The sequence below is a fragment of the Homo sapiens genome, chromosome 9, assembly GCF_000001405.40.
Source record: "Homo sapiens chromosome 9, GRCh38.p14 Primary Assembly".
Lineage (NCBI taxonomy): Eukaryota > Metazoa > Chordata > Mammalia > Primates > Hominidae > Homo > Homo sapiens.
Window position 1 is genome coordinate 105,091,523 of NC_000009.12, and position 27,858 is coordinate 105,119,380.

General features: G+C 43.1%; 1 long non-coding RNA gene and 1 pseudogene across 1 annotated transcript in view, besides 1 other annotated feature; both read left to right on the plus strand.

The window, feature by feature from the left end:
- Positions 1-290: 290 nt before the first annotated feature.
- The window catches only part of LOC105376197 (uncharacterized), a 63,129-nt gene continuing 35,561 nt past the window's right edge, over positions 291-27,858 (plus strand). The window contains exons 1-2 of the long non-coding RNA XR_930205.3: positions 291-466; positions 27,209-27,433. This is a non-coding gene — a long non-coding RNA (uncharacterized LOC105376197). The remainder of the gene's footprint in view (positions 467-27,208; positions 27,434-27,858) is intronic.
- Positions 5,234-5,463, plus strand: RN7SKP191 (RN7SK pseudogene 191; annotated as a pseudogene).
- Positions 21,252-21,752: an enhancer, noted in NCBI's record as "H3K27ac hESC enhancer chr9:107875055-107875555 (GRCh37/hg19 assembly coordinates)". NCBI's record gives its function as "activates a minimal SCP1, AML or CMV promoter by ChIP-STARR-seq in naive H9 embryonic stem cells {active_cell/tissue: H9 hESC(naive)}" and the evidence as "EXISTENCE:reporter gene assay evidence [ECO:0000049][PMID:30033119]".

The following is a 27,858-nucleotide window of genomic DNA, read 5'->3' on the forward strand; positions in this document are numbered from 1 at the left end:
TGAGTGTAGAATCTTTCATGAATTTATTCATTAATTTTTAAAAAGCAATTTATTGAGTTCCTGTGCTTCAATCTAACAGGGAAGATAGACAATTAAATGACTACAACACAAAATGAAAATTGTTATAAATGAGAAGCACAGGGAATTATGGGAGCTCACAGGAGGCCCGCCAACTAAAAGGGTGGAAAAAACTTTCTGAACAACTTTTAAGCTGACTCCTGAAGAATGAGGAGGACTTATTTAAGCAAGTGTGGGGTGTTGGGGATGGGAGACAGGGGTAATTGTGTGTGTGTGTGTCTGTGTTCAGTGTGAGAAAGCAAGAAAGAATGTTTCAAGAATAAGACAATGGCATGCGTGAAGCCGAAGTAAAGAAAGCACAGAGATTTTAAGAAATTGCAAGGGCTGAGTATGGCTAGAATATAGCATACGATGGGGAGATGGACACACTGAGAGAAGAACTGGACAGGTGAGCAAAGACTAATCTATTTCTCCTCTCTATTTAAATGTTTTCATATATTTGTTTATTGAACTCATATTTATTATGTTTTTCTTGTGTGCCTATTAATGGGAGGTCATAAAAGGCCATGTAAATTAGGTTAAGGAATTTTGCCTTTATTCTAAGTGCAGTGGTATAACACTAAAGTGTTTTCTTTTTTTTTTTTTTTTTTGGAGACGGCGTCTCACTCTGTTGCCCAGGCTGGAGGGTAGTGGCGGCGCGATCTCTGCTCACTGCAACCTCCGCCTCTTGGGTTCAAGCGATTCTCCTGCTTCAGCCTCCCGAGTAGCTGGGCCTATAGGCGCACACCACCATGCCAAACTAATTTTTTGTATTTTTAGTAGAGACAGGGTTTCACCATGTTGGTCACGCTGGTCTCGAACTCCTGACTTCAGGTGATCCTCCCACCTCAGCCCCCCAAAGTGCTGGGATTACAGGCATGAGCCACCATGCCCGGCCCACTAAAGTGTTTTCATCAAGACCAAACTAACATCTTGGGAAAGCTGGTATCAATCACCAAGTTCCCCTCGGTTTTTTTCTGAGGAAAGCTCAGGAGGTTATCACCCAGATAGGATCCAAGAGCCTGAGGGGAGTGCAGAGAGCATAACCTTTCTGGGACCCTCACTACAGTATAATGAAGGAAACACCTAATGGAAATGAAGGTCAGAAAGAGTTCACTTTCCTTGCTTGGGGACTTCCTGAGAGACCTGGAGCCCCAGGACAGGAATCACTTTAGGATACCTTCTAGGGTTGAATTTCCCAGAGAAGAAAGATGAAGATGATTTCTTCATCTTTTACTTTTAACATATTTATGTCTTCATATTTAAAGTGGGTTTCTTGGCTGGGCACGGTGGCTCATGCCTGTAATCCCAGCACTTTGGGAAGCTGAGGCAAGTGGATCACTTGAGCTCAGGAGTATGAGACCAGCCTAGGCAACAAGGTGAGACCCCCATCTCCACAAAAAAAAAAAAAAAAAGGTTGGGCATGGTGATGCATGCCCATGGTCCCAGCAAGCTACTTGGTACTTGGGAGGCTGAGGTGAGAGGATTGCTTGAGCCCAGGAAGTCAAGGCTTCAGTGAGCCATGATTCCACCACTGCATTCAGCCTGGGTGACAGAGCAAGACCCTGTCTCAAAAAAATTAAATTAAAATAATAAATAAATAAATGAAGTGGGTTTCTTACAGGTGGCTTATAGTTGGGATTTGCTTTTGTATCCAATTTGACAATCTCAGTTTTTCCATTTGGGTGTTAGACCATTTACATTTAATGTGATTATTGGTACAATTGGGTTTTAATCTACCCACTTGCTATTTGCTTTCAATTTATCTCATTGGTTCTCTGTGTTTTCCTCTTTTTCTGCCCTCATTTGGATTCATTAATTTATTTTTATTCCCTTCTATTTCTTTTATTGGCTTATTAGCTATAACTTTTGCTGCTTTATTTTAGTGGTTATTTTAGGATTGATAGTATTATGAAGTACCTTCTCTCTGTCAGCTCTCTGGCAGATGAAATCCACTGCTTGAAGCATTTTGAGTAGACAGAAGTGGAAGGTGGGGTGCAGCCCACAGCTAGCTGAGTAATTAACTGCATGGAATCAGCTCTGTGTAGTGGTGATAGCAGGAAACATCATCCATGTATGTGTTCATGGAACAGCAAAGCCACAGATATTAGACAGCAAATCAGGCAGGCTCTAAATATGGGGTAGTCAATAACCAGGGCAGCAAAAACCAAAGCAAAAGGACCATGGCTTGAGAAGTTTTGTGGGAGCCCAGGAACATTTTGGAAACTTTCAGATCCGAAAGGGGAGAGCCAAGCTACCTGCCTCTTGTTTAGACTGGCCTGGACAGGCTGAGCCTTCAAATACAGTGATGAATGAACCAGCTGCCAGGAGCTGAGGTTGAAACAGAAGCTCACACTCCAGGTCTATTCATGCTTCCCATGGAATGCCCTCCTCACTATTACCACCTGTCTATATATTTTCCATATTTATTAGCTAGCTCATATGCCCCCTCTGACAGAAAGCCAATGGGATACAATTTTCTTATCTTCTAAACCTCCAATCATCCTACCCAGTATGTCCTAGAGAACACATCACATTTTGCCTTTCATTTTCAGTCATGATTGTGCCTCTGTTTATATTACATAAAGTATCTTGAAGACAGTGACTACTAACTTTGTAATGGATTCTAATCCCATCTCTGCATAGCGATACGTAAGGCTGAACAACTCCTTTAGTCTCTCTGAGCCTGGTTCCTCATCTGTAAATAAGCATAACAAAACCCGCCCTGGCTATAACTCCCACAGTTGTTGTGAAGTGCCATCAAAGTCAAGCTTATTAATGTACTTTGTAAATGGTGACATGTTAGGCAAATGTGACTACAGATTGGGAACATTAAAGTACTAAATATGTTTAAGTAACGTCTTTTTTTTTTTTGAGATGGAGTCTTTTTCTGTCACCCAGACTGGAGTGCAGTGGCATGATCTTGGCTCACTGCGACCTCTGCCTCCCGGGTTCAAGTGATTCTCCTGCCTCAGCTTCCTAAGTAGCTGGGATTACAGGCAAGTGCCACCACACCCGGCTAATTTTTTTTTTTTTTTTTTTTTGTATTTTTAGTAGAGACAGGGTTTCACCATGTTGCCCAGGCTGGTCTCAAACTCCCGACCTCAGGTGATCCACCTGCCTCAGCCTCCCAAAGTGCTGGGATAACAGGCATGAGCCACTGCGCCTGGCCTAAGTAATGTCTTTAGTAGGTCCCTGAGCAAATAATGGCAGGATTAAAGAGAGGCTGCCCATCCTATCCTCCCATCTCTACACCTCTGTAAGAGCATAGTTAAGACCATGGACTCTGAAGCCAGACTGCCTGGCTTCCGTGCCAGCTCCACTCCTCCTGAGCTTTGTGACCTTAGGCAAGTTATTGAGCTTTCCTGTAAGCAGTATTTCTTATTCACTGTTACATCTCCCAGGTGCATAATTGGGATCCAGTGTCAAAGAGCCAGAGCAGTATTGAAGGAAGCAGAGGATCAAGTATCAGCAAGCTATCTTAACTGGCTGGGCCATGAGCATGTCACCTAACCTCTCTGGATGACTTTCTTGATCTATACCTCAAAGCTAGATGAGCTGCTTTTAAATAGTCTTCTATAATACTTTTAAGTTCTTTTAATAAATAATTCTTGGGCTGGGCGCGGTGGCTCATGCCTGTAATCCCAGCACTTCGGGAGGCCAAGGCGGGCAGATCACAAGGTCACGAGATCGAGACCAGCCTGGCCAACATGGTGAAACCCATCTCTACTAAGAATACAAAAATTAGCCGGGCATGGTGGTGCATGCCTGTAATCCCAGCCACTCGGGAGGCTGAGGCAGAAGAATTGCTTGAACCTAGGAGGTGGAGGTTGCAGTGAGCTGAGATCATGCCACCACACTCCAGCCTGGGAGACAGAGCAAGACTCCATCTCGGAAAAAAACAAAAACAAAAGCATTCATTCTTAAAGATCTGTTTTACACTTCATAGTAGAGACTATTACTTCAGTTAAAAATAAATGACTTTGGTGAGTACAAGTATGTTTGAAGAGCAAAAATCTTGCTTGGCCTCTTACACGTCAAGACCGTGGCAAAGCATTTAAGCTTCCTGATACTCAGTTTCCTCTTTGGTAGCGACAGTATAGAATTGCCATAGGAATTAGATATTTAAAGCACCTAACACAGTTAAGAGCACAGAATAGATGCCAAATAAATAATAGCCAGCAAAGCCAAACAATAATTACAACTTAGCTTTAAAAATTAATTTTTAAAAATGGATTTTAAAAGCTTGAAATCAGTCTTTATGGGCCCTAAGTGTTGAAATACTAGTCATTCACATTTAAGTTACCAACCACCAAGAATTTACAACTCAGTGGGGATCCACTCCTCTCTACCTTTGTTTGCATTAGTCTTTTCCTCTGATATAAACTTTCCCCTTCCCTACTGATGAATTCCTACTCATCCTTTAATACTCAGATCAAATATCGCTTCCTCCAGTGTCTTCCCCACTCCTCTGGACAAATATAAGCTTCTCAGTGCCCACACACTTCTATGACAATAGTCATCATGTGTCTTTTCAAATCTTATATGTCTTTATAATTTTATCTCCTCTTCTAGACCATGAAACTCTCAAGGACAAGGATAAGCACAGAGTCTAGCATACTGTAGGTACTCGATTTTTTTTTTTTTTTTTTTTGAGATGGAGTTTCACTCTTGTTGCCCAGGCTGGAGTGCGATGGCACGATCTCGGCTCACCACCACAACCTCCACCTCCTGGGTTCAAGCGATTCCCCTGCCTCAGTCTTCTAAGCAGCTGGGATTACAGGCAGGTGCCACCATGCCTGGCTAATTTTGTATTTTTAGTAGAGATGGGGTTTCTCCATGTTGGTCAGGCTGGTTTCGAACTCCCGACCTCAGGTGATCCACCTGCCTCAGCCTCCCAAAGTGCTGGGATTACAGGCATGAGTAACTGCCCGGCCTGGTACTCAATGTATTTTTAATGTTTGAATAAAGGAGTGAAAGCAATAAAAAAAAATTCTGCTTTTAGTTGTCACTTAGTAAATTCATTCATTATTTATAACAGGAAGACAAAATTAGAGGCCTGGCATAACTCTACAGGCTCAGGTGTAAGCCAAACACACACACACACACACACACACACACACACACAACCTAATCAGAGTTTTTTAGAAATTCAGTCTTAGAAATAAGATAGGATGGATGTGAGGGCAATCTGACTGCGACATCTGCCACCCATTGATCACCAGGGATGATTTGGTTGATCTGGCTGGCTAGGCGGGTGTCCCCTTCCACCCTCACTGCTCCATGTGTGTCCCTGCTGAAGCCGCACACTTGGTCGAAGAGGACAACCATCCCCAGTAGAGGAGGACCAGTCTTCAGTCAAGGGTATACGAATAGCTGCGCTCCCCTGCTAGAACCTCCAAAGAAATAGGATAGGATTTTGTGATGGTTATGTACCATCTCTTGACCATAAAAAGTCCTACTCTCTACATGCTGTATTATTGAAAGCATCAGAAAAGCATCCAAACACTTGGGAATCATATGGCTCATCTTTTCAAATCAAGGCAAATAAGAACAAGAAACAAACCCAGGATTAGTACACTATAACCACTGCCCCAGACAGGTTTAAAGTTTCAACCAAGTTTGGTGGGAAACCATGCTTGGTCTGTTTTTTTTTAAAGAAAATTATAACTCTGGTGCTCAATTATGGATGTTTGAAAACTGAAGCTGAATCACACACATCTATATTCTGGGATCATTTTCCCAATATGTGAAGAGTTCAAAAGTTCAGATCGAAGCCGGGTGGGATTGCTCACGCCTGTAATCCTAGTACTTTGGGAGGCCGAGGCAGGAGGATCACTTGGGGTCAGGAGTTCAAGACCAGCCTGACCAACATGGTGAAACCCCATCTTTACTAAAAAATACAAAAATTAGCCAGGTGTGGTGGCACACACCTGTAATCCCAGTTACTCAGGAGGCTGAGGCAGGAGAATTGCTTGAACCCAGAAGGCAGAGGTTGAAGTGAGCCAAGATTGCACCATTGCACTCCAGCCTGGGTGACAGAGCAAGAATCTACCTAAAAAAAAAAAAAAATTCAGATCAAGCAGGTTTACAGCCATCACTAATTACTGTGGGGAGCTAGGGGAAGTTACTCTATCTTTCTGGGTATTAATTTATTCATTGCAAAATGAGAGCATTGGAATGGATGATTTCAAAGTCCCTTATGACTCTTAGCAAAGTCACAGAAAAGGAGAATCACAAGGCTTTCATCTGGCATAAGCAGAATTGGCATATGCCAATATAATACTTTGAGATTCAAGAAAGAAGAGCCTCTATCCAAAAATATCTCTGTCACAGTAGCCAAGGACCAAACTGCACAAGTTGAGGTAGTGGAAGACACAGAGGCTTTGGAATCAGCCAGACCTGGCCTCTAACTCCAACTCTGACACTGGCTTTCTGTCAGTATGCAAATTACTTAATCTCTCTAAACCTCAGTTTTCTTATTTTTAAATGTAATGGTCAGTCCACACTCTGTTATTTAGGGTGTAGCAATGGCGGTCAAGTGCAGCATGGATCTGAGAGGGGCAGGCCTCCCCAACCTGCAGGGTTAGTGATTAGGCAGAAATTAATGAGTTCAGATTACCAGCCTCTACTCCAACAAGGGGCAGGATGAGCAGGGACCAGTTGCCTTCTGAGTCTCCCTGAATGTATGGACTTAGTCTGACCCTCTTCCAAAGCCCAGCCTCAGTGAAAAAATGAACCCCTCCCAGGTCTAGCCAACAATATAATTATAGTTCATCTTCTCCAAATAATGGAGCATTGACTATAATATTGTTTTAACTGTGGTTTTGGATTTTTCTGAACCTGCCATTCCATCCTTACTTGCCAATACCCCCATTGAATCTAAAGTTGAAAGTTCACTATATAATAATATGTTAAGAAGTGATGTTATGGGTTTTTCCCTTTTGTTCAATGAACGACATAGAAATCCCCTTAAATGCTTTCCAGAGCCTGGCAGACTTGAGCCTAATTTTAGAGCAGCAGTCTTAGAGTTAAAGAGAATTTGAGGGCCACGGGGCTCATAGGAGCAGAAGACCTAGTCTGCCCCAAAGCATCTTGGGAAATGTGTCCAGTGCAGAGAAAAAAGGAAATGCAGCCATGTTTTCCTCTCACATATGGTTTTGGACAGGATAAAATGAGATAATTTCTGCAACACACCTACATGGTGCCTAGCCATAGGAGCAACATTAAGTGGTAATTACTATTATTACTCACAGCTGGTCTGTGTAGCTCCAAAGTCCATCAATGTTCTGCTATGCATACTACCTCCCTACCCCAAATGACAGTCTCCAAACTTTTTGGATAATATATCACTATAATTTTTTTTTTTTGACACGTAGTCTTGCTCTGTTACCAGGCTGGAATGCGGTGGCATGATCTCAGCTCACCGTAACCTCTGCCTCCCGGGTTCAAGTGATTCTCCTGCCTCAGCCTCCCAAGTGGCTGGGACTAGAGGCGCCCACTACCATGCCCGGCTAATTTTTCTATTTTTCGTAGAGACGGGGTTTCACCATGTTGGCCAGATGGTCTCGATCTACTGACCTTGTGATCTGCCTGCCTCGGCCTCCCAAAGTGCTGGGATTACAGGCGTGAGCCACCGCGCCTGGCCCATCACCATAATTTTTTAAAGGTTTAGCATACAGACTCCAAAATACCAAAATATGCATATTCATATATTTATATAATATACAAGTACTACTTTACATGTTAAAACTTATTACAAGAGAGATAGTTAAAAGCCACACAATGTATGAAATAAAATCTTTAAATAATATTTATTTTATTAATTTCTAGAACAAAAAATATCTGTAAGCGATGTGTTCAATGTGTTTCATTATTTTTATAATGTTGGTTTAAGGAGGCGGAGGTTGCAGTGAGCCAAGATCACGCCACTGCACTCCAGCCTGGGCGATAGAGGGAAACTCAGTCTCAAAACATTTTAAAAAATAGACTGGGCACGGTGGCTCACGCCTGTAATCCCAACACTTTGGGAGGCCGAGGCGGGCAGACCACCTGAGGCTGGGAGTTCGAGACCAGCCCGACCAACATAGAGAAACCCTGTCTCTACCAAAAATACAAAATTAGCGGGGCATGGTGGTGCATGCCTGTAATCCCAGCTACTTGGGAGGCTGAGGCAGGAGAATCCCTTGAACCCAGGAGGCAGAGGTTGTGGTGAGCTGAGATCGTGCCATTGCACTTCAGCCTGGGCAACAAGAGTGAAACTCCAACTAAAAAATAATAATAATAAAATATATATATATATATATAAAATTTTAAAAAGTAAATATAAAAATAAATAAAAATCTTAGTTTAATGTTTTGTGTCACAGCAATTTGAAGGCCTGCATCTAAGTTCAGTTTATGATCAACACTTAATTCTAATGGATGACATAGATGGAAAAAGAACCTCACATGGAGGTTCCAAATAGAACCAAATGGAAGAACTCTCTTGCTTAGCTGCACTTACTAAATCATAATTGCCATCTTTTAAATCCTATCCATCATTCATGCAGAGGTTTTTGTTGAAATTTGGCCCATAGATTTTCATTACTCTTTTTTTTTTTTTGAGACGAAGTCTTGCTCTGTTGCCAGGCTGGAGTGCAGTGGCACAATCTTGGCTCACTGCAACCTCCAACTCCCTGGTTCAAGTGATTCTCCTGCCTCAGCCTCCCAAGTAGCTGGGATTACAGGCACACGCCACCATGCCTGGCTAATTTTTGTGTTTTTAGTAGAGATGGGGTTTCACCATGTTGGCCAGGATGGTCTCGATCTCCTGACCTAGTGATCCGCCCACCTCAGCCTCCCAAAGTGCTGGGATTATAGGCATGAGCCACCACGTCCAGCCTTTTTTTTGAGATGAGGTCTCACTCTGTCTCCCAGGCTGGAGTGCGATGGTACCATCTCAGCTCACTGCAACCTCCGCCTCCTGGGTTCAAACAATTCTCCCACCTCAGCCTCCTGAGTAGCTGGGATTACAGGCACCTGATATCATGCCTGGCTAATTTTTATATTTTTGTAGAGAAGGGGTTTCACCATGTTGGCCAGGCTGCTCTTGAATTCCTGACCTCAGGTGATCCGCCCACCTCGGCCTCCCAAAGTGTTGGGATTACAGGCATGAGCCGCTGTGCCCGGCCTGATTTCCATCATTCTTGATGCCAAAAAATTACCCAGCAAGCAAATTAGAAGGGGTTGCATGTTTATATTTTTTAACAATTAGATTCAAAACCCACTACAATTCTTTAGGAGATTATTAAACATATTAGAAAATTCTTTTTCCAAGTGCATTCAGCATGCAGATGACAAACATATGTACTTTCCACAACAATATTCCAATAGAGACATTTCCTCAGAGTCATTTTCGAAAATGTCCTCTGCGTATCTTTTAAAAAGTAGTTTGTTTCTCATTATTAGATGTCACTTTTACCTTGAAGAAACAAGCTATTTAATCTGTTCTTATTTTTCCTTTAATTTGTCTGCTAGGTAGCATACTATTGACACCCACTTGACACATAAAATACCAATAAATTGGCTGGGTGCAATGGTTCACACCTATAATCCCAACACTTTAGGAGGCTGAGGCGGGCAAATCAAGTGAGCCCAGGAGTTTCACACTAGCCTGGGCAACATAGCAAGACACCCACACCCCTTACCTCATCCCCATCTCTAGATAATTTTTTTTGTTTGTTTGTTTTTGTTTTTGTTTTTTTGAGACGGAGTCTCACTCTGTTGTCCGGGCTGGAGTGCAGTGGCACAATCACAGTTCACTGCAACCTCTGCCACCCGGGTTCAAACAATTCTCCTGCCTCAGCCTCCCGAGTAGATGGGATTACAGGCACCTGCTACTGTGTCTGGCTAATTTTTGTAGTTTTAGTAGAGACAGAGTTTCACCATCTTGGCCAGACTGGTCTTGAACTCCTGACCTCGTGATCCACTCGCCTTGGTCCCCCAAAGTGCTGGGATTACAGGCGTGAGACACCGCACCTCGCCAACAAAAAATTTTTTTTTAATTAGTCAGGTGTGGTGGTGTATACCTGTAGTCCCAGTTTCTCTGGAGGCTTAGGTAGGAGGATTGCTTGAGCCCAGGAGGTCTAGGCTGCACTGAGCTGTGATTGTACCACTGCACTCCAGTCTGGGCAATGGAGCAAGACTCTGTCTCAAAAAAAGAAAATCAATAAATGGCAGATTTGTCTTTAACTTCAACAACCTTTTAAAGTGTTTTGACAGAAGATAAACGATGAACCTCTGTGTTTATGGCTACCCCATCTCATTATAAAGCAGGGGTCCAGCTATGGCCCTTACATCAAATCCATTCCACTCTTGTTTTTATAAAGTTTTATTGAAATACAATCACACTCATTAATTTACATACTGTCTATGGCTGCTTTCACCCTACAGTGGCAGAACTGAATCACTATAATAGGGACCATATGGCCTGGAAAACCTAAAATACTGACTATCTTCTTTACCAAAAAAGGTTGCCAACTTCTGCTATACATCATTATGAAGTTTTTAAGATTAAAGTTTCTGTTTTCACAAAATTTATCACACCTAAAATTCCTGGAATTTTAGTTATTATGGCTCTAACTTCTTTGCTACAGTAACTGCATATGAATGATGCGGTCATTAAATTTCACTTATGCTCTATTCCTCTAGCCTTATCCCTCTTGTATTTAAGAAGTAATTATAATTATAATTGAAGGTATAATTATATCTTAATATAGCCCCTCCAAGATACATTTTTCTTAATGGCGATAGAGAGAATTGTTTTCTATGTATTTCAATATTGAACCAGAATCCAGCAAGTATCATAAATTGAGTCAAGTTAGAAATATCTGTACTTTCATCCAATTATATCAGAAACCTTCCACGATGTCAAATCTACCCTAATGCTTGTTTCCTCAGATCTTCAGCAATCTTTTCTATGCATTTTCCAATGATATTTGCTGACAAAGGAACACATTTTTCTTATTATTTCTGCCAAGTTTTACCAGGGCAGAAGAACACATATTTCTCTAATAGTATGTAGCTTTTTAACCTCTGCTGTTAAGCTAAAATCTATAAAGTTAGTGAAATTAAGTGAAATTGAGCAGTGCCTGATTAAAACATCCCTGTAAAAAAGCTGTAAGATTGGACTGCATACTCTAGATGCTTCATTTCTAAATGTTATGATAACCATGACAATTTTATGGATAAAACTCAAGCACAAGATACACTTTGGGGCAATGTTCATTGTCAGTGATGTTAGACTTAAATCCACAATTCAAACAGGGCTCCATGATAATGTCTAATTTTTTCGACACCTCTTGTCAGATCTCACTAGATATCATTGTTTTATCTCTTAATGTGGCAGACAAAGAGCTCATAACAGAGCAGAAATGTTTGTTTTGCCATTTTCTCATTGTTTCCTTATGCTTCCATTATAGGTATTGTCTTAAATTTACAATGTCATTACAGGTATCTTTTTAAGCTTTTTGTTCATTTTGTGAAAGTTACTTTAGTTCAAACTAGATAATGCATTTTTCTTAGAATCCACACTGGCCCAAGTAAACTGCAATATATCACAGGATGCTGAGAGCCAACACCCAGAAGAAGACAACTCAGTCAAGTCCTCCATGTTGTGGAAGCCCCACTCTTCCCTTAGAGAACTCATGAACTATTCTTGACATTTGACCTATGTGAAGACACAAATATCAACCTGTATATTAGATATTGGCAACACAATTTTTCTTTTAGAGGTCATAATAATTTTTTATATGGTGCGTTGCCATACACATTCTACACTGGAGACCACGATACTATACAATGATTTTGCCATTTTATTTTATTTTATTTTATTGAGACAGAGTCTCACTGTGTCACCCAGGCTGGAGTGCAATGGTGCGATCTTGGCTCACTGCAACCACTGCCTCCCAGGTTCAAGCAATTCTCCTGCCTCAGCCTCCCAACTAGCTGGGACTACAGGCGAATGCCACCATGCCCGGCTAACTTTTGTACTTTTAGTAGAAACAGGGTTTTGCCATGTTAGCCAGACTGGTCTCGAACTACTGACCTCAGGTGATCCACCTGCCTTGGCCTCCCAAAGTGTTGGGATTACAGGTGTGAGACACCGTGCCTGGCCAATTTTGCCATTTCAAAAAGCACAATACTTAAAGGAGGTGAGAGTTATTCTGCTAATACAGTAAGGTATTATATTAGGTTGGTGCTCAGCAAGTATCCAGTTGCTTATTGAGTACTTACCATATACCAACATACACACACACACACACACACACACACACACGAGTATATCAGGTGCTATGAGTGTTACCAAGATGAATCAAAATAAATCAGACATGAATTGCATTCAACTCCAGTCATTCACTAATTTATTCATCCACTAAGCAAACAATTACTGGGTGCCTTCAAGTTCCAGGGACAGAGTGAGTCACTATGGATTGGTGTCTTCGTGACTTCCACTTCAGATATGGCAAACTATTTATCCAACTTGAATTAGCTTGGATAGATTGTTCATTATTATAGTAACTTTTCATATTTTGGCGTCCTAGAGTTTGTTCTCCTATCCTAATAGCACTCCAGTTTCCTATTGGATAACACACTTTCCCCCACTGTGAGACAGTGAACCAAGCTGAAACTACAGGGTCAAAGACACCATGAATAAGGAGAAATTTATTCTCTGCAGGGAGAAAGCCAGAATTAAAAGAAGCAGAGATGAAAGATGAAAGGGTCTTAGGAAAAGAACAGCCTTATTTCCTTACTTTCTATCTACCTTTTATAGACCTTCTGAGGCCCAACTATGTATACCTTATTTCTTCTTCATAAATGTCTATAACATGGCCTCACTGTCCTGGACATTAGTTGTTATAGCCATATAATAAATGTACCATTTTACTTGGGTTAATTTTAGTGAGTTTCTCTTCCTTGCAACCAAACAGTTCCTGAGAATAATTTGGTCCCAGGAAGAGGCATTGCAAACGAGCACTAAGAGGAAACTAGGAATGATTGTTGTAGAACTGTGATACTCTCTTCCCTTCCCATCACCACCTTCCACCCCAGATAAAAAAGTTGGAGGTGTGAGATCTGAGATATAGAGTTTGAGAATCAGCTGATTAAACTTTAATCTTCAGTCTCCATCTCCATGTAACTTTAAGAAGAGTATCTTGAGATAGAGGAAAGATAAAACTCATTTCCAGATTGCCTGGCTTGAAATAGATTAGGGGGAAAAGAACACTCTGGGGGACTGGTAGAATCCATTTATTGCTATCCCAGCTTGGGGGATCTGGTAGTCTTAGTTAAGCCATCTAAGTACAGGTGTGAAAACTCTTTCCCATCATTTCTCTGAGGGTCTAGGAGTCATCTTTAGTCTAACAAAGAGGAAAGGTATTTTGGTAGAAATACCGTAAGAGGTAATTGGCCAGTGGCAGAAATAGATATATGCTTCAAGGTGAGCATTGCTTCTACAGGAAGGAAAACTATTAAGGAGACCTGATGTAAAATGAGCAAGGTTTCCTGAAGGGTGAATACCTGATCTTCAGAAGCCAGGGGATAAGTAATATAAGGCGTTCAATCTTGTGAAAACTGCAGTCAGCTGGCAAAGTTTCTAATCCAATATGACTCCGGGGGCACAAAGACAAGGCTTATTATGGACATCTTCTCAATTCACTTGTCCAGATTTTTCAGGTGGTGACCCCAATCCTGAGCCACTTTTCTGACTGTGGATCAATGGTCCCTCTTACTTTCTCACTATATCCCTTTCATCCTTTCACACTTGAAGGTTTATTCCTTCTTCCTTCCCTCCCAATTCCCCATCAGAGTCCTTAATGAGTTGACTCAGGATCATCAGTAAGAACTTTGATGGCCAATGAAAAACCAAAGCAGGGTAAAAAAAAGTAAGCAATGAGCAACAAATAGTAGCCCTTTCTCAAGAGCATGGAAGCATTTTTGAAACAATAGTCTTCAAAACACTATTGCCTAAATCTTCACTTCCTGGAAGGAAAGGGAGGTTAGACAGAGGACAGATAGATAGGTAGGTAAATAGAGACAGAGATAGACATTAAGAAATAGGTGTAGATTGTCTTAGTACAGTTTGTGTTGTTATAACAAAACACCTGAAATTGATAATTTTTTTTTTTTTTGAGACGGAGTCTCGCTCTGTTGTCCAGGCTGAAGTGCAGTGGCACAATCTTGGCTCACTGCAACCTCCACCTCCCAGGTTCAAGCGATTCTCCTGTCTCAGCCTCCCAAGTAACTGTGATTACAGGCATGTACCACCATACCCAGCTAATTTTTTTATTTTTAGTAGAGACAGGGCTTCACCATTTTGGCCAGGCTGGTCTCGAACTCCTGACCTCAGATGATCCACCCCGTCTCGGCCTCCCAAAGTGCTGGGATTACAGGCATGAGCCACTGTGCCCGGCCATGAAACTGGTAATTTATTTTATTTATTTATTATTATTTTTATTATTTTTTGAGATGGAGTCTCACTCTGTCACCCAGGCTAGAGTGCAGTGGTGCAATCTCAGCTCACTGCAACCTCTGCCTGCCAAGTTCAAGCAATTCTCCTGCCTCAGCCTCCCAAGTAGCTGGGACTACAGGCACGTGCCATGATGCCTGGCTAATTTTTTGTATTTTTAGTAGACACGGGGTTTCACCATGTAAGCTGGTCTCGAACTCCTGACCTTGTGATCCACCCATCTCAGCCTCCCAAAGTGCTGGGATTACAGGTGTGAGCCACTGTGCCCTGCCTGAGACTGGTAATTTATAAAGAACAAAAATTTACTTTCTCCCAGTTCTAGAGGCTGGAAAGTTCAAGATCATGGCACTGGCAGGTTCAGTTTTTTTATGAGGGCTGCTCTCTGCTTTCAAGATGACACCTTGTTGCTGCATCCTCCAGGGGGAGAAACACTGTGTCCTTACATAACAGAAGGTAGAAGGACAAGTGAGTCCAATGCTATTTGAAGCTTCTTATATAACAGTTTTAATCTCATTCATGAGAGGAGGACCGCTCATGATTTAATTACCTCTTAAAGGTCTCACCTCTTAATACCATCACATTGGCCATTAAGTTTCAATACCTGAATTATGGAGGGGACACATTCAAACCACAGCATGGACATACAGATTCTATTTTAAGGAAGGTAGCCACTGCTTTAAAGTAAGATGAATGATTTCTTCTAGTTCCAAATAGTTCAAAAAAAGACAGTCTGGTTTTTTTTTGTATTTTTTTTTTGAGATGGAGTCTTGCTCTTCTGCCCAGGCTGGAGTGCAGTGGCACGATCTCGGCTCACTGCAACCTCTGCCTCCCAGGTTCAAGTGATCTTCCTGCCTCGTCCCTCCTAGTATAGGCATGCGCTACTATGCCTGGCTAATTTTTGTATTTTTAGAAGTGACAAGGTTTCACTATGTTGGCCAGGCTGGTCTTGAACTCCTGATCTCAGGTGATCCACCTGTCTCGGCCTCCCAAAGTGTTGGGATTACAGGTGTGAGTCACCACACCCGGCCAAAAACAGGCTCTTTGGGGACAAGGTAAAAAAAAAAAAAATACAGGCGTGAGCCACTGCGCCCGGCCCTTTTTTTCCTCTTTTCTAAATTAAAGTTTTTTATTGTATTACATTCCTCAATTAAACATGGGTCGCTGAACCGAGAGAAGTCATATTCAAAGCAGCCCAAGAAGAAGAAAGATCCCCCAGAACTTTGGACTTGGAGCTTAACCTGCTGTTAAATACATCAAATTGTTTTGCTGTGGGAAAGGGGGTGAATATATTTTAGGTATCTGTATGAGGGCTGTGTGATTTCCAGGAACTGTCTTGGAATACTATTATGGGAGGAGAGTTTGTATTAGACTAAGCAGTCAAGGGGTAGACTGTAGCAGACTGTGGTTACTTACTTTTCCTCCCAGGAAGCTTTCACTTGTTCCTCCTGTTAAGAGATTCCATTATGCTGGCCACACACTGGGTAAATGATGCAGGTCTGGCCAATTCCCTTGGCAATAGCGATAGTTCAAGGGGAAGCATGCAACACAAGCAAAATCAATGAGAACCTTCATCAGGATTAAAATAGAGACTTGGGAAGAAAGATGTTTTTTCTCTTCTCTGGGGTTCCTAAGCTAGGACTACCAAAAGCCACGTCCATATGGAGAAGCAAGAGAGAATGACACCAACATGAACTGAAGAGCAAACACAAGTAATGATGATCATGAGAACAGGAGAAAAAACAAGTTTGTCATAGGGAGGCCTCAGTGCTAGCCCCTGAGATCATGGTTCTTCCTTTAGTTCTGTAAACTACTCCATTCCTGCTCTGTGCTCTAGTAACAACCACCCCCTTTTCTGCAGAGTCTAGTTTAAATTGGGTTTCCATCACTTTAAAGAGTCCTGACAGGCCAGGCGTGGTGGCTCGTGCCTGTAATCCTAGCACTTTGGGAGGCTGAGGCAGGTGGATCACCTGAAGTCAGGAGTTTGAGACCAGCTTAGCCAACATGGTGAAACCCTATCTCCACTAAAAATACAAAAATTAGCTGGGCATGGTGGCACATGCCTGTAATCCCAGCTACTCAGGAGGCTGAGGCATGAGAATTGCTTGAACCTGGGAGGTGGAGGTTGCAGTGAGCCAAGATCATGCCATTGCACTCCAGCCTGGGCAACAAGCAAGACCCTGTCTCAAAAAAAAAAAAAAAAAAAAAGAAAAAGAAAAAAGAAAAGAAAAGAAAAAAAGAGTCCTGACTAATACATGCCCAGAACCGTGGGGAACACAGAGGGATAATTTAACACAAATTTAGGACTTTTGTTGTTGACATTGTTATTATTATATTTTTTTAACTGTAATACAAGCCTAGGGTAAAAATTCAAACAGTATAAAGAGGTATATTATCTAATTATAGAATAAGTCTTCCTCCTAGAACCCTGCTTCAGAAGAAAAAAACCTGTTAACAGCTTCTTTTGTATCCTTCCAGAAATTTTCTTGAATTAAACTTATAGCACACTGAAGGATCAAGGAGAGAATGAAGCGAGTGAGATATATTACTCTCAGATCTAGCTCAACAAAGCAGATATATCAATATTATGTCATTTTTCCCCTTTTCTGATTATACTTGGTTTAAATTTGCAGTTGTAAAATTGCCTGTGAATGTCTACATTTTATATTTTTAAGTAAAAGCCCAACAGGGAAAAACTAACTAATGAGTTTTGTTTTGTCATCATGTAGGGCTTTTACAACATAGTTTAAAACACTCAACATCTTGAAACAATTAACAAAATCATTCACCTTCACAGAAAGTTGGTTTGTTTTTTAAGGCCTATAAACATAGAGGAACTTTTATTTTATTTTATTTTATTTATTATTTTTTTTTTGAGACAGAGTTTCACTCTTTTGCCCAGGCTGGAGTGCAATGGCGTGATCTCAGCTCACTGCAATCTCCGCCTCCCGGGTTCAGGCAATTCTCTTGTCTCAGCCTCCCAAGTAGCTGGGACTACAGGTGGCCACTACCACGCCCAGCTAATTTTTGTATTTTTAGTAGAGACGGGGTTTCACCATACTGGCCAGGCTGGTTTCAAACTCCTGACCTCAAATGGTCCAGCCACCTTGGCCTCCCAAAGTGCTGGGATTACAGGCGTAAGCCACCACGTCCAGCTGAATTGTTCACTTTAAAGTGGTTAATTTTCTGTTATGTGACTCTTACCTCCATACTAATAATGTTAATGTTTAAAAGATGGAAGTTATACCTTTTGCAAAGCAAATCTAAATCAAAAGATTTTTTTAAGTCATAACCTCTGACAAAAACAAGAATTAACCTGTATTAAGAACCTACTCTAGGCAAGAAAGACCCTGTGCTAAAAACTTTCCAGTAAACAATAGACATAATATATAAATTATGATAGTATGCTAGAAGGTGATAGATACTATGAGGAAATAAGTAAAATAAGGTTAAAAGGATTAGAAGAGACAGAGGGGCAGGGAGCAGAATTTGAAACAGTGGTCCTGGAAAGCACCATTGAGAAGGTAACATTTAAGAAAAGATTCAGCCAGGAGCAGTGGCTCACACCTGTGATCCCAGCACTTTGGGAGGCTGAAGTGGGTGGATCACCTGAGGTCAGGAGTTTGAGACCACCTGGCCAACATGGTGAAACCCCATCTCTACTAAAAATACAAAAATTAGCCAGGCGTGGTGGCACAAGTCTGTAATCCCAGCTACTCGGGAGGCTGAGGCAGGAGAACTACCTGAACCCAGGAGGTGGAGGTTGCAATGCTGAGATCACGCCATTGCACTCCAGCCTGGGTGACAAGAGCAAGACTCTGTCTTAAAAAAAAAAAAAAAGAAAAAGAAAAGATTCAGAGGATGATACGGAGTTGGTCAAGCTGATATCAGATTTCTGGGGGAAGAAATCTGGGAGGAGGAGGAAGGGGGAGCATCCAGTGCAAAGGCCTTAAGGCAGAGACATGTCTGACATAGTCCAGGAAAAGCAAGGTCAGCATGGCTAGAATGGAGTAAACAAAGGAGAAAGTGATAGGAGAAATCAGAAAGGTAATTGAAGGGCTTTGGCTGTTACTCTGAGTAAACTGGGGAGCCACAGCAGACTTTAAGAACCATGGCCGAAGCAGAAGACTACATTGAGAATAAATTGGAAGGAGGGAATGAAAGACAATGATAGCTATGACCAGTGAAGTAACAATGGAGATGGTGGAAAACCGTCAAATGCTTAATGTATTTTGAACACAGAGTTCAGAGAATGTCTGATAGATTGGATTCGAGGTGTGAAAGAAAGAAAGAAGTTAAGGATGAGCTCAAGGTTTGGGGCTTGAACAACTGGAAAAGAGAGATGCTATTGCCGGGCACGGTGGCTCATGCCTGTAATCCCAGCACTCTGAGAGGCTGAGGTGGGCGGATAACCTGAGGTCGGGAGTTTGAGACCAGCCTGACCAACATGGAGAAACCCTGTCTCTACTAAAAATACAAAATTAGCCGGTGGCACATGCCTGTAATCCCAGCTACTCAGGAGGCTGAGGCAGGAGAATCACTTGAACCCAGGAGGCGGAGGTTGCAGTGAGCCAAGATGGCGCCACTACAGTCCAGCCTGAGTGACAAGAGGGAAACTCTGTCTCAAAAAAAAAAAAAAGAAAGAAAGAGAGATGCTATCACTGAAATGTAGATGGCTTTGAGTGAAGCAGTTTTGAAAGAGGGATAGGGAATGAGAGAAGAGGATAGCCACAAGTTGCATTTGAAATGTCTGTTAGAAAACCAAGTGGAGGTGGCTCAGAGAACTGAGGTGATTTTTGAAAGAATTGAGCTATCCAGTCCCTCCACCTCCTTGCAAAGCAATAGTATTTAATTATGATAGTATCAGTCAAACTCAATGTTTTCCTTTTTAACACTTCCATATATGTTCCTATTTATTTATTTATTTTGCATTTTAAACTTCTTTTTAATTGAGGTAAAATGGTAAGGCTTTTTCTCTGAAGATTGAGGTCTTTACCCTGCTCCACTGTCAAATTGTGACATGATTTTTTCCATACTTCACCTTGTGTCCCTTCACCTACTTTTCTTTTGAGACTGAGTCACGCTCTGTCGCCCAGGTTGGAGTGCAGTGGCATGATCTCAGCTCACTGCAACCTCCGTTCTGTGGGTTCAAGCAATTCTTCTGCCTCAGCCTCCCTAGCAACTGGGATTACAGGTGTGTGCTACCATGCCCGGCTAATTTTTGTATTTTTAGTAGAGACAGGGTTTTGCCATGTTGGCCAGGCTGGTCTAGAATTCCTAACCTCAAGTGATCCACCCACCCAGCCTCCCAAAGTGCTGGGATTATAGGAATGAGCCACCCAGCCCTCACCTACTTTTCTAAATGGGAATATAATTTACTCTTTAACTCTTCTCTTTCCTTCACACCTTGAATCCAATCTAACCAGACATTTTGGCCAATGTGTATTACTCTTTTTTTTTTTTTTAAAAAAAGATACTACTGCAATTTACTGTTATTTTTAAGGAAGCTATGACTACATATCTTCCAACAATTATGTTAAAAGAGTCCACAAATGGTGATTGCCAAGGTGTAATTTCCAAGACTTGTAGGAGATCTAGCCAAGTGAAATATGACACCTCCAAAAGGAACCTGGACTACAATCTATCTGACATATGTTATATACCTGGATTCATTTCTTAGGGCTGCTGTAACAAAGTACCAGAAATTTAGTGGCTTAAAACAGCAGAAGTGGGCCGGGCGCGGTGGCTCACACCTGTAATCCCAGCACTTTGGGAGGCCGAGGCGGGCGGATCACAAGGTCAGGAAATCGAGACCATCCTGGCTCACACAGTGAAACCCCATCTCTACTAAAAATACAAAAAATTAGTCGGGTGTGGTGGCGGGCACCTGTAGTCCCAGCTACACAGAAGGCTGAGGCAGGAGAATGACGTGAACCCGGGAGGTGGGGCTTGCAGTGAGCCAAGATCGCACCACTGCACTCCAGCCTGGATGACAGAGCGAGACTCCGTCTCAAAAATAAAACAAAAGAAAAACACAGAAGTTTATTCTCTTGCAGTTCTGGAAGATAAAAGTCCAAAATCAGCAGGGACGTGCTCTCTCTGAAGGTACTATGAGAGGATCTTTTGTTCCTCTTCCATATGTGTCTGTTTTTAAAGTTCCCTTATGTTACAAGAACACAAGTCATTTAATTTAGGACATCCTTTAATCTTGTATGGCCTCACCTTAACCTCATTACATCTGCAAATACCCCATTTCCAAATAAGGTCACATTCACAGGTATCAGGGGTTAGGACTTCAACATATCTTTTTGTGGGGACACAGTTCTCAACCCATAACAACACCAAACCTCAGTTATTCATTCATCTATTCACTGAAACTAGTACCTGTGCTTGGCACACTTGCAAATACTGGAGATACGAGCATGAACAAGATGACATAGTTCTTGCCATCAGAGAGCCTATGATCTGGTGTGGGAGGCAGACACTTGCAGTTCAATATGGTAAAAGAGAAGAACTGAGGCTGGGAGCAGTGGCTCATGCCTGTGATCCCAGCACTTTGGGAGGCCGAGGCGGACAGGTCACTTGAGGTCAGGAGTTTGAGACCAGCCTGGCCAACATGGTGAAACCCAGTCTCTACCAAAAATACAAAAATTAGCCAGGCGTGGTGGTACATGCCTGTAGTCCCAGCTACTCGGGAGGCTGAGACAGGAGAATCGCTTGAACCCAGGAGGCAGAGGCTGCAGTGAGCAGAGATTGCGCCACTGCACTCCAGCCTGAGCGACAGAGCGAGACTCTGTCTCAAAAAAAAAAAAAAAAGAGAGAGAGAGAGAACTGGCCAAGCATGATGGCTTGCACCTGTAATTCCAGCTACTTGGGAGGCTGATGCAGCAGGAAAATCACTTGAGCCCAGGAGTTCAAGATCAGCTTTGGCAACATGGCGAGACCCCCATCTCAGAAGAAGATGAAGGAGAAGGAGGGGAAGAAGCAGAAAAAGAAGGAGAAAGAGAAGGAGAGGAAGAGGAGGAGGAGGAACAACTGAATAACATGGGAATTCAGAGATACGACACTTAACTCAGCCTGGAAAGCCAGGCTGGCCTTACCACTTTCTGAAGTAAGCCATATCCAAACTAAGACCTAGATGGTGGCATAGGAGGTACAGGGAAGAAGACTCCAAGCAGAGGGATCACATTTGAAGTACAGATGTTAAAGAAATCATGCAGCCGGGTGCAGTGGCTCAGGCCTGTAATCCCAGCACTTTGGGAGGCTGAGGTGGGTGGATCGCCTGAGGTCACGAGTTCGAGACCAGCCTGGCCAACGTGGTGAAACCCCATCTGTCTCTACTAAAAATACAAAAATTAGCCAGGCGTGGTGGCACATGCCTGTAATCCCAGCTACTCAGGAGGCTGAGGCAGGAGAATCCCTTGAACCTGGGAGACGGAGTTTGCAGTGAGCCCAGGCAACAAGAGCGAAACTCTGTCTCAAAAAAAAAAAAAAAGTATAAAAATTAGCTTGGCATGGTGTAATCCTAGCTACTTGGGGGGCTGAGAATTGCTTGAGCCTGGGAGGTGGAGGTTGCAGTGAGCCGAAATCAGGCCAGTGCACTCCAGCCTGCGTGACAGCGAGACAATGTCTCAAAAAAAAAAAAAAAAAAGGTAATAATAGAGTTTTAATATTGGAGACAGAATAAATCAATAAAAATAATCCCAACCATTAATCTTTAGTTTAGCCTATTAGTTTCAAACTTTCTTCCACACCAAACCTCTTAAAGAGCACATAAGATGAAATCAAATGAAGTTTTAGCTTGGGCATAAACAAGGCACTGTGGGCATCTCACAGCCATGCAGATCAGACAGAGAGGATGAAACAAAACCTGACCCTGCATCTACACAGCTGAATCTTGGGCAGGAGGAATAAGCCCAGCTACAAAAGCAAATATCAGACTGGTAGCCTGATGGGTGAGACACAATGGCCAAAGGACACAGGAAGCCCAGGCGTGATTGAAGCAACTCTCTAATCAAATGGGTGGAGCAAATGGAGAGGAATCCAAGCATCTTGTCTGCCCTCCCCAGTCAGGCACACAGGCCAGCAGACAGGCAGGTAGGAGGTTATTTGTAGACACATTGTCCATGGGTAGTAATGGATAAGATCCAGGTTCTGTCCCAGGGAAAAGGGCTGGCAAGTGCCACATAGTATGCCAGGGCCCATTCCCAGGCTGAGTTCAGGAGCAGTGTGCAGTCCTAAAAGGGGACCGTGCCTCTGGGCGGGAGAGCTAGGGATCAGGTAGAAGCTGGATCTCTGGGTTGGGCCAACAATAGCCAGAGAGAGGACAGATATCACTCGGGGAAACATGACTGTCAGAGGATGTTACTGGACTAACAACCTCCAAGTTTCAGTGGATGACTGCGCACCAAGTCCCACCAGAGGCACTGAGGTGGTTAATCTACTTCCTGCCTGAATTTGTTCAGACTCAGAAGCTGGGGTGGGAGGGTGGCAGCTGAAAGTGAGATGCATCAGTGGACCCAAAGGGAAGCAGCTGGGCAACATAAAGGCATGGAAACTGAGGCAGGAAGTCAATAGGGTTGACTTATTCTGCTTTACTGTGCACCGTGCATGCCCACTCTCTGGTGGAGGTGCTCATGGGAAAGAAATGACTACAGTTAAATTTCCTACTTAGAGGTCTAATGGAGTGACATTAAGAAACAGCCCTTCATTCCACTAACATTTATTGAGTACCTCCTATGTTCATAGCATAGTCTCTGGCTTCAAGGGTCCTACAGTAGAACAAGCACGATGGGAGATTCACAGAAATAACTCTGTGAGAAGTCCCATCCAAGTGCTGTGGAGCACAGAGGGAAAAAGAGGAACATCTAGAAGAAAAGAAAAGTCTCCTAAACTTCTTGAGAAGGGACCATGGCTATTTTTGCCTGGATAGCCCAATTCTAATTATCACTCTATCCGAGAGTTTAATTGCCTCTGGGTGATGCCAGCTGCCTTGAACTACAGGTCTGAAGGCACAGCTGTTGCTACTTGATCTACGTCTCCCTTAACTAAGTCTCAGGTTTGTAATCTTATCACACAGGGAACCTAGGGTTCCATATGACAGGACTGAAAATCCCTAGCTCTGTCACTTACTAAATAGTCATGTCTGCCTTTTCTAACCTTCCTGAACTTCAGTTTTACTCCTTATAAAATGAGAATAAAGACAACCCAAACTTCAAAGGGCTGTTTCAAGGATTAAGTGGAAGTCATGTATATGCACGGGTTTTGTAAACTTTAAAGAGCTAGAAAAACATTTATTTTAATGGTGTCTCAACTTGAGTCTGCACTGGGCTGCAGCCATGCCTGGGTGTGTTTGATGACCTGGTCTGTGGGGCTTCTGGGTGTCACTCCGTGTGAGGATGAGGAAGTGGTTTGGCTCACATGCCAGAAAAAGACGCAAAGACGGCTGGGCAGCATGTGGGAAGCTTCAGATATCTATGCCTAACCTGGCTCTGTGGACGGAAGTCAGAACTCAGCAAAGAGGCTGGGCGTGGTGGCTCATGCCCGTAATCCCAGCACTTTGGGAGGCCAAGGGGGGTGGATCATCTGAGGTCAAGAGTTTGATACTAGCTTGGCCAACATGGCGAAACCCCGTCTCTACTAAAAATACAAAAAAAAAAAAAAATTAGCTGGGCATGGTGGCACTCGCCTGTAATCCCAGCTACTTGGGAGGCTGAGGCAGGAGAATCACTTGAACCTGAGAAGTGGAGTTTGCAGTGAGCCAAGATCGCGCCATTGCACTCCAGCCTGGGTGACAGAGTGAGACTCTGTCTCAAAAAAACACATAAAAAAATAATAACTCAGCAGAGAGAGGGGCTCCTCACTGTTTTCAAAGGGCGATGTTACCACTGCCGCTTTCAGGCCTGCTGACAAACTAAAATGCAGAAAGGGAGGTGGAGGTGAAGGCACATGCTGTCTTCCCAGCACAGGGAGAATTCCAGAGCATTTGTCACCATTTAATCACCTGAAGAGTTTCCTCACCAGGGGAACACATTCTCCATGCAGATACAGCATATAAGGCATTTGCTGCACCTTCCCCTGGAGTTGTCAGGTGACCTGGAGACATTGCCAATGTGGGGGAGAGAGGAAGTGTAACAGGAGTACTTGTGAGTGGCTGCAAAATGCTCCTGGGGACAAAGTCTCAGGGGCAAGGGTCAGCAATGACAGGCCATTGCCCCTAATATGACCCCAACAGTGACACTCACAGGTGGGTGAGGCCTGGAGAAACTCGGCCACATGACTCTTCTGTCAGGATGAGTGTTAGATGCCATGTGTGTTCCCACGCCAGTAGCTGCTATTTCCAGTTGCTTCAATTGCTTCATTTGTTCAGGGAACCTGAGAAGGAAGATGTGTTACCCAGCAAGGCTAGAAGCCGCTTCTCTTAACAAAGACCACCCAGAAGTGAGCCGAGGTATTGGAAAGTACCCAGTGTGTGCTTTTCAACAAATGCTGCTTAAAGCTGCTGCAGTGTCCAGTAAACCATTGCTCTTGGTTCTCATCTCAGAGTTTTCCAATGCTGAGGGAATGCAGACAGAAGAATGTGTAAGATTATGACACAGGAGCTGCATGGTGAGGTGTAAAGGAGGAGAGAGGAGCAACAAATTGTGCCCCAACAAGAAAACGTGAAATGTCCGGTTTGTTTTTTTATTTTTTATTTTTTGAGACAGAGTCTTGCTCTGTCTGCCCGGGGTTGGAGTGCAGTGGTGCAATCTCGGTTAACTGCAGCCTCCACCTCCCGGGTTCAAGTGATTCTCCTGCATCAGCCTCCTAAGTAGCTGTGATTACAGGCACGCGCCACCACACCCAGCTGATTTTGTATTTTTAATAGAGATGGGATTTCACCCTGTTGACCAGGCTGGCCTAGAACTCCTGACCTCAAGTGATCCGCCCACCTTGGCCTCTCAAAGTGCTGGGATTATAGGCATGAGCCATCGCTCCTGGCCAAAATGTCCCTTTTAAGTGGAGTTGGAGTTGGGGGACAGTGCAGGGAGCTGTGGGCAAAGGTGAGTCAAAGAGAACAAAATGCCCCCCCTAAAGATATGGCAGGAAGTCTGGCCAAGGGTGGGGACATTGGTTTATTTTCTCTTTCTCTGCAGCCCACCACCATTAAGGCTAGAATTCTGGATCAAGCATCTTTAGAGGAGCCTCAAATGTGCCTGCATTCACTCAACAAGGAGAGAGTAAATAATTCATCCAAGGTCTGCCAAGAGAGCTCTCTGGCACCATAATGCTTTCTGAGGTGGAAGGTTAGCTCTTGCCAGACAGGGAGGAGCCCAGCCAACAACAGGGGTCTCCTTAGCAGTTTGGAATCTCTGTACAAATGCCAGCTCACAGCCACTCTGACTTGTCCAGCAGTGCCCTGGGCCCCTGCAGTATGCCTCGGACTAGCTTCATCCAGCAAACTGCTGCCTCTGACAGTCTGATGTCCATTTTCCCAGCCTGTACTGAGTGTCAATCATGGGCCTGAGTGAAAGAGACATGACCCCTGACTGCCTTGGAAGAGCCGGCTTAGGACAGGATAGGGTGGGAGGGCAGTGGATCCACGGGTCCCAAAACGGGTGGTGAGTAGCCAACTGGTGAGCAGACAGGTGAGGGTTTGGGGAGAGAGGGGCATTTCCTAGATGTAGAGCTATTTAAGCAGAGTTTTAAATAGTTAAGTTGGAGCTCACCAGGCAGGAAAAGAAATTAAAAGGAACAGCTAGAGTTTTGTTAGAGCTTACTATGTGCAGGCATTGTGTAAAGGGCATTTCAGAGAGAGCGAACAGCTGGTGTGAATTCTTAAAAATCTGAAAGTGCATGCTATATGGATAGGCTAATTCTTGTAAAAAACTTATTTTTATAGATTTAGGGGGTGCAAGTGCAGCTTTGTTACATGAATATATTACATAATGGTGAAGACTGGACTTTTAGTGTAACCATCACCCAAATAGTGTACATTACACCCATTAGGTAATTTCTCATCTCTCACCACCCTCCCACATTTCTGAGTTTCCAATGTTAATTATTTCACTCTCTATGTCCATGTCTGTATATATATACATAATTTACATAATTTAGCTCCCACTCATAAGTGGGAACATGCGTATTTGACTTTCTGAGTTATTTCACTTAAGATAATGGCATCCAGTTCCATCCATGCTGCTATAAAAGAAAATTTCATTCTTTTTTATGACTGAGTAGTATTCCATGGTATAGATTATATACACACACACACACCCCCCACACACACACCCACCCACACACACATCTCACATTTCCTTTAATCAGAATAGGCACATTCTACGCATTTGCCTATACACAGGTGAATTACGTGTAGATAATGTTTAGTGTACCGTGGGAGTTGTAAAAGATAAAGCTACAAAGGAAAGTTAGAACTGAAAAGGCCTCACAAATTTAAATATATATATATTTATGCATAGATCTGGAAAGATATATGTCAATATGTTAGCATTGATTTTGGCGATGAAGACTCTGGAGATTCATTTTTACTCTTTCTATTCTGCATTTCATTTTATTTTTTTTATTTTTTTCACCAACAAAAAGAGAAGAGGTTGAGGAGGTGGGTGGTCTGAATACTGTTTTAGAAAGTGTGTGCTTCATGCTGCAGGCACTGGGGAGCCACTGAAAATTCTTAAGCAGAAGACCAAGGCAACTAGACACCAGCCATCAAGAGCTGCTTATGCGGGAGGCCCTCGGTGACTCACTTGCTCCTACTTCCCTGGGACTATCTTCCTCATACCACCTGCAGACCCAGAAGTCAAGCCTGTAGGATGAAACCTGTCCATCCACGAGATGGGAAGCTGCCAGTAATGATCGAAGAGGCACAGTCAATGTGAGTGCTTTTCTCTGCCCACTCAGAACTCCTCAAAACTTGACAGTGGGCACAAAACAACGTGGCTCTGCCCCAAGCACAAGGACAAGGGGGAAAAGGACAGGTGGCAAAGCATTCACAAAAGCTAACAGGAGAAAAGGCAGATTGGTTTCTTTTCCTACAACGTAGGAGCTTTTATTACTAGAAAATAAAATCCTGTCTGAGCAAATGCCAGGAAAACGATTAAGGGCTCAATTTAGATTGGGAGGCTTGGTTGGGCACTGCTAGGCAGGGAGCTAAACAATGTCAGCCCCACTCTCTATGCACATCACGTTTGGGGTGAGTGGCCCGAGCCCCAGCCAGGCCTTTCACCACCAGTTTTGTAGAATTACAGTTAAGCTTTGGCCACTTGGTTTCAGTTAAAAGGATTGTGTGGAAGGAAGGAT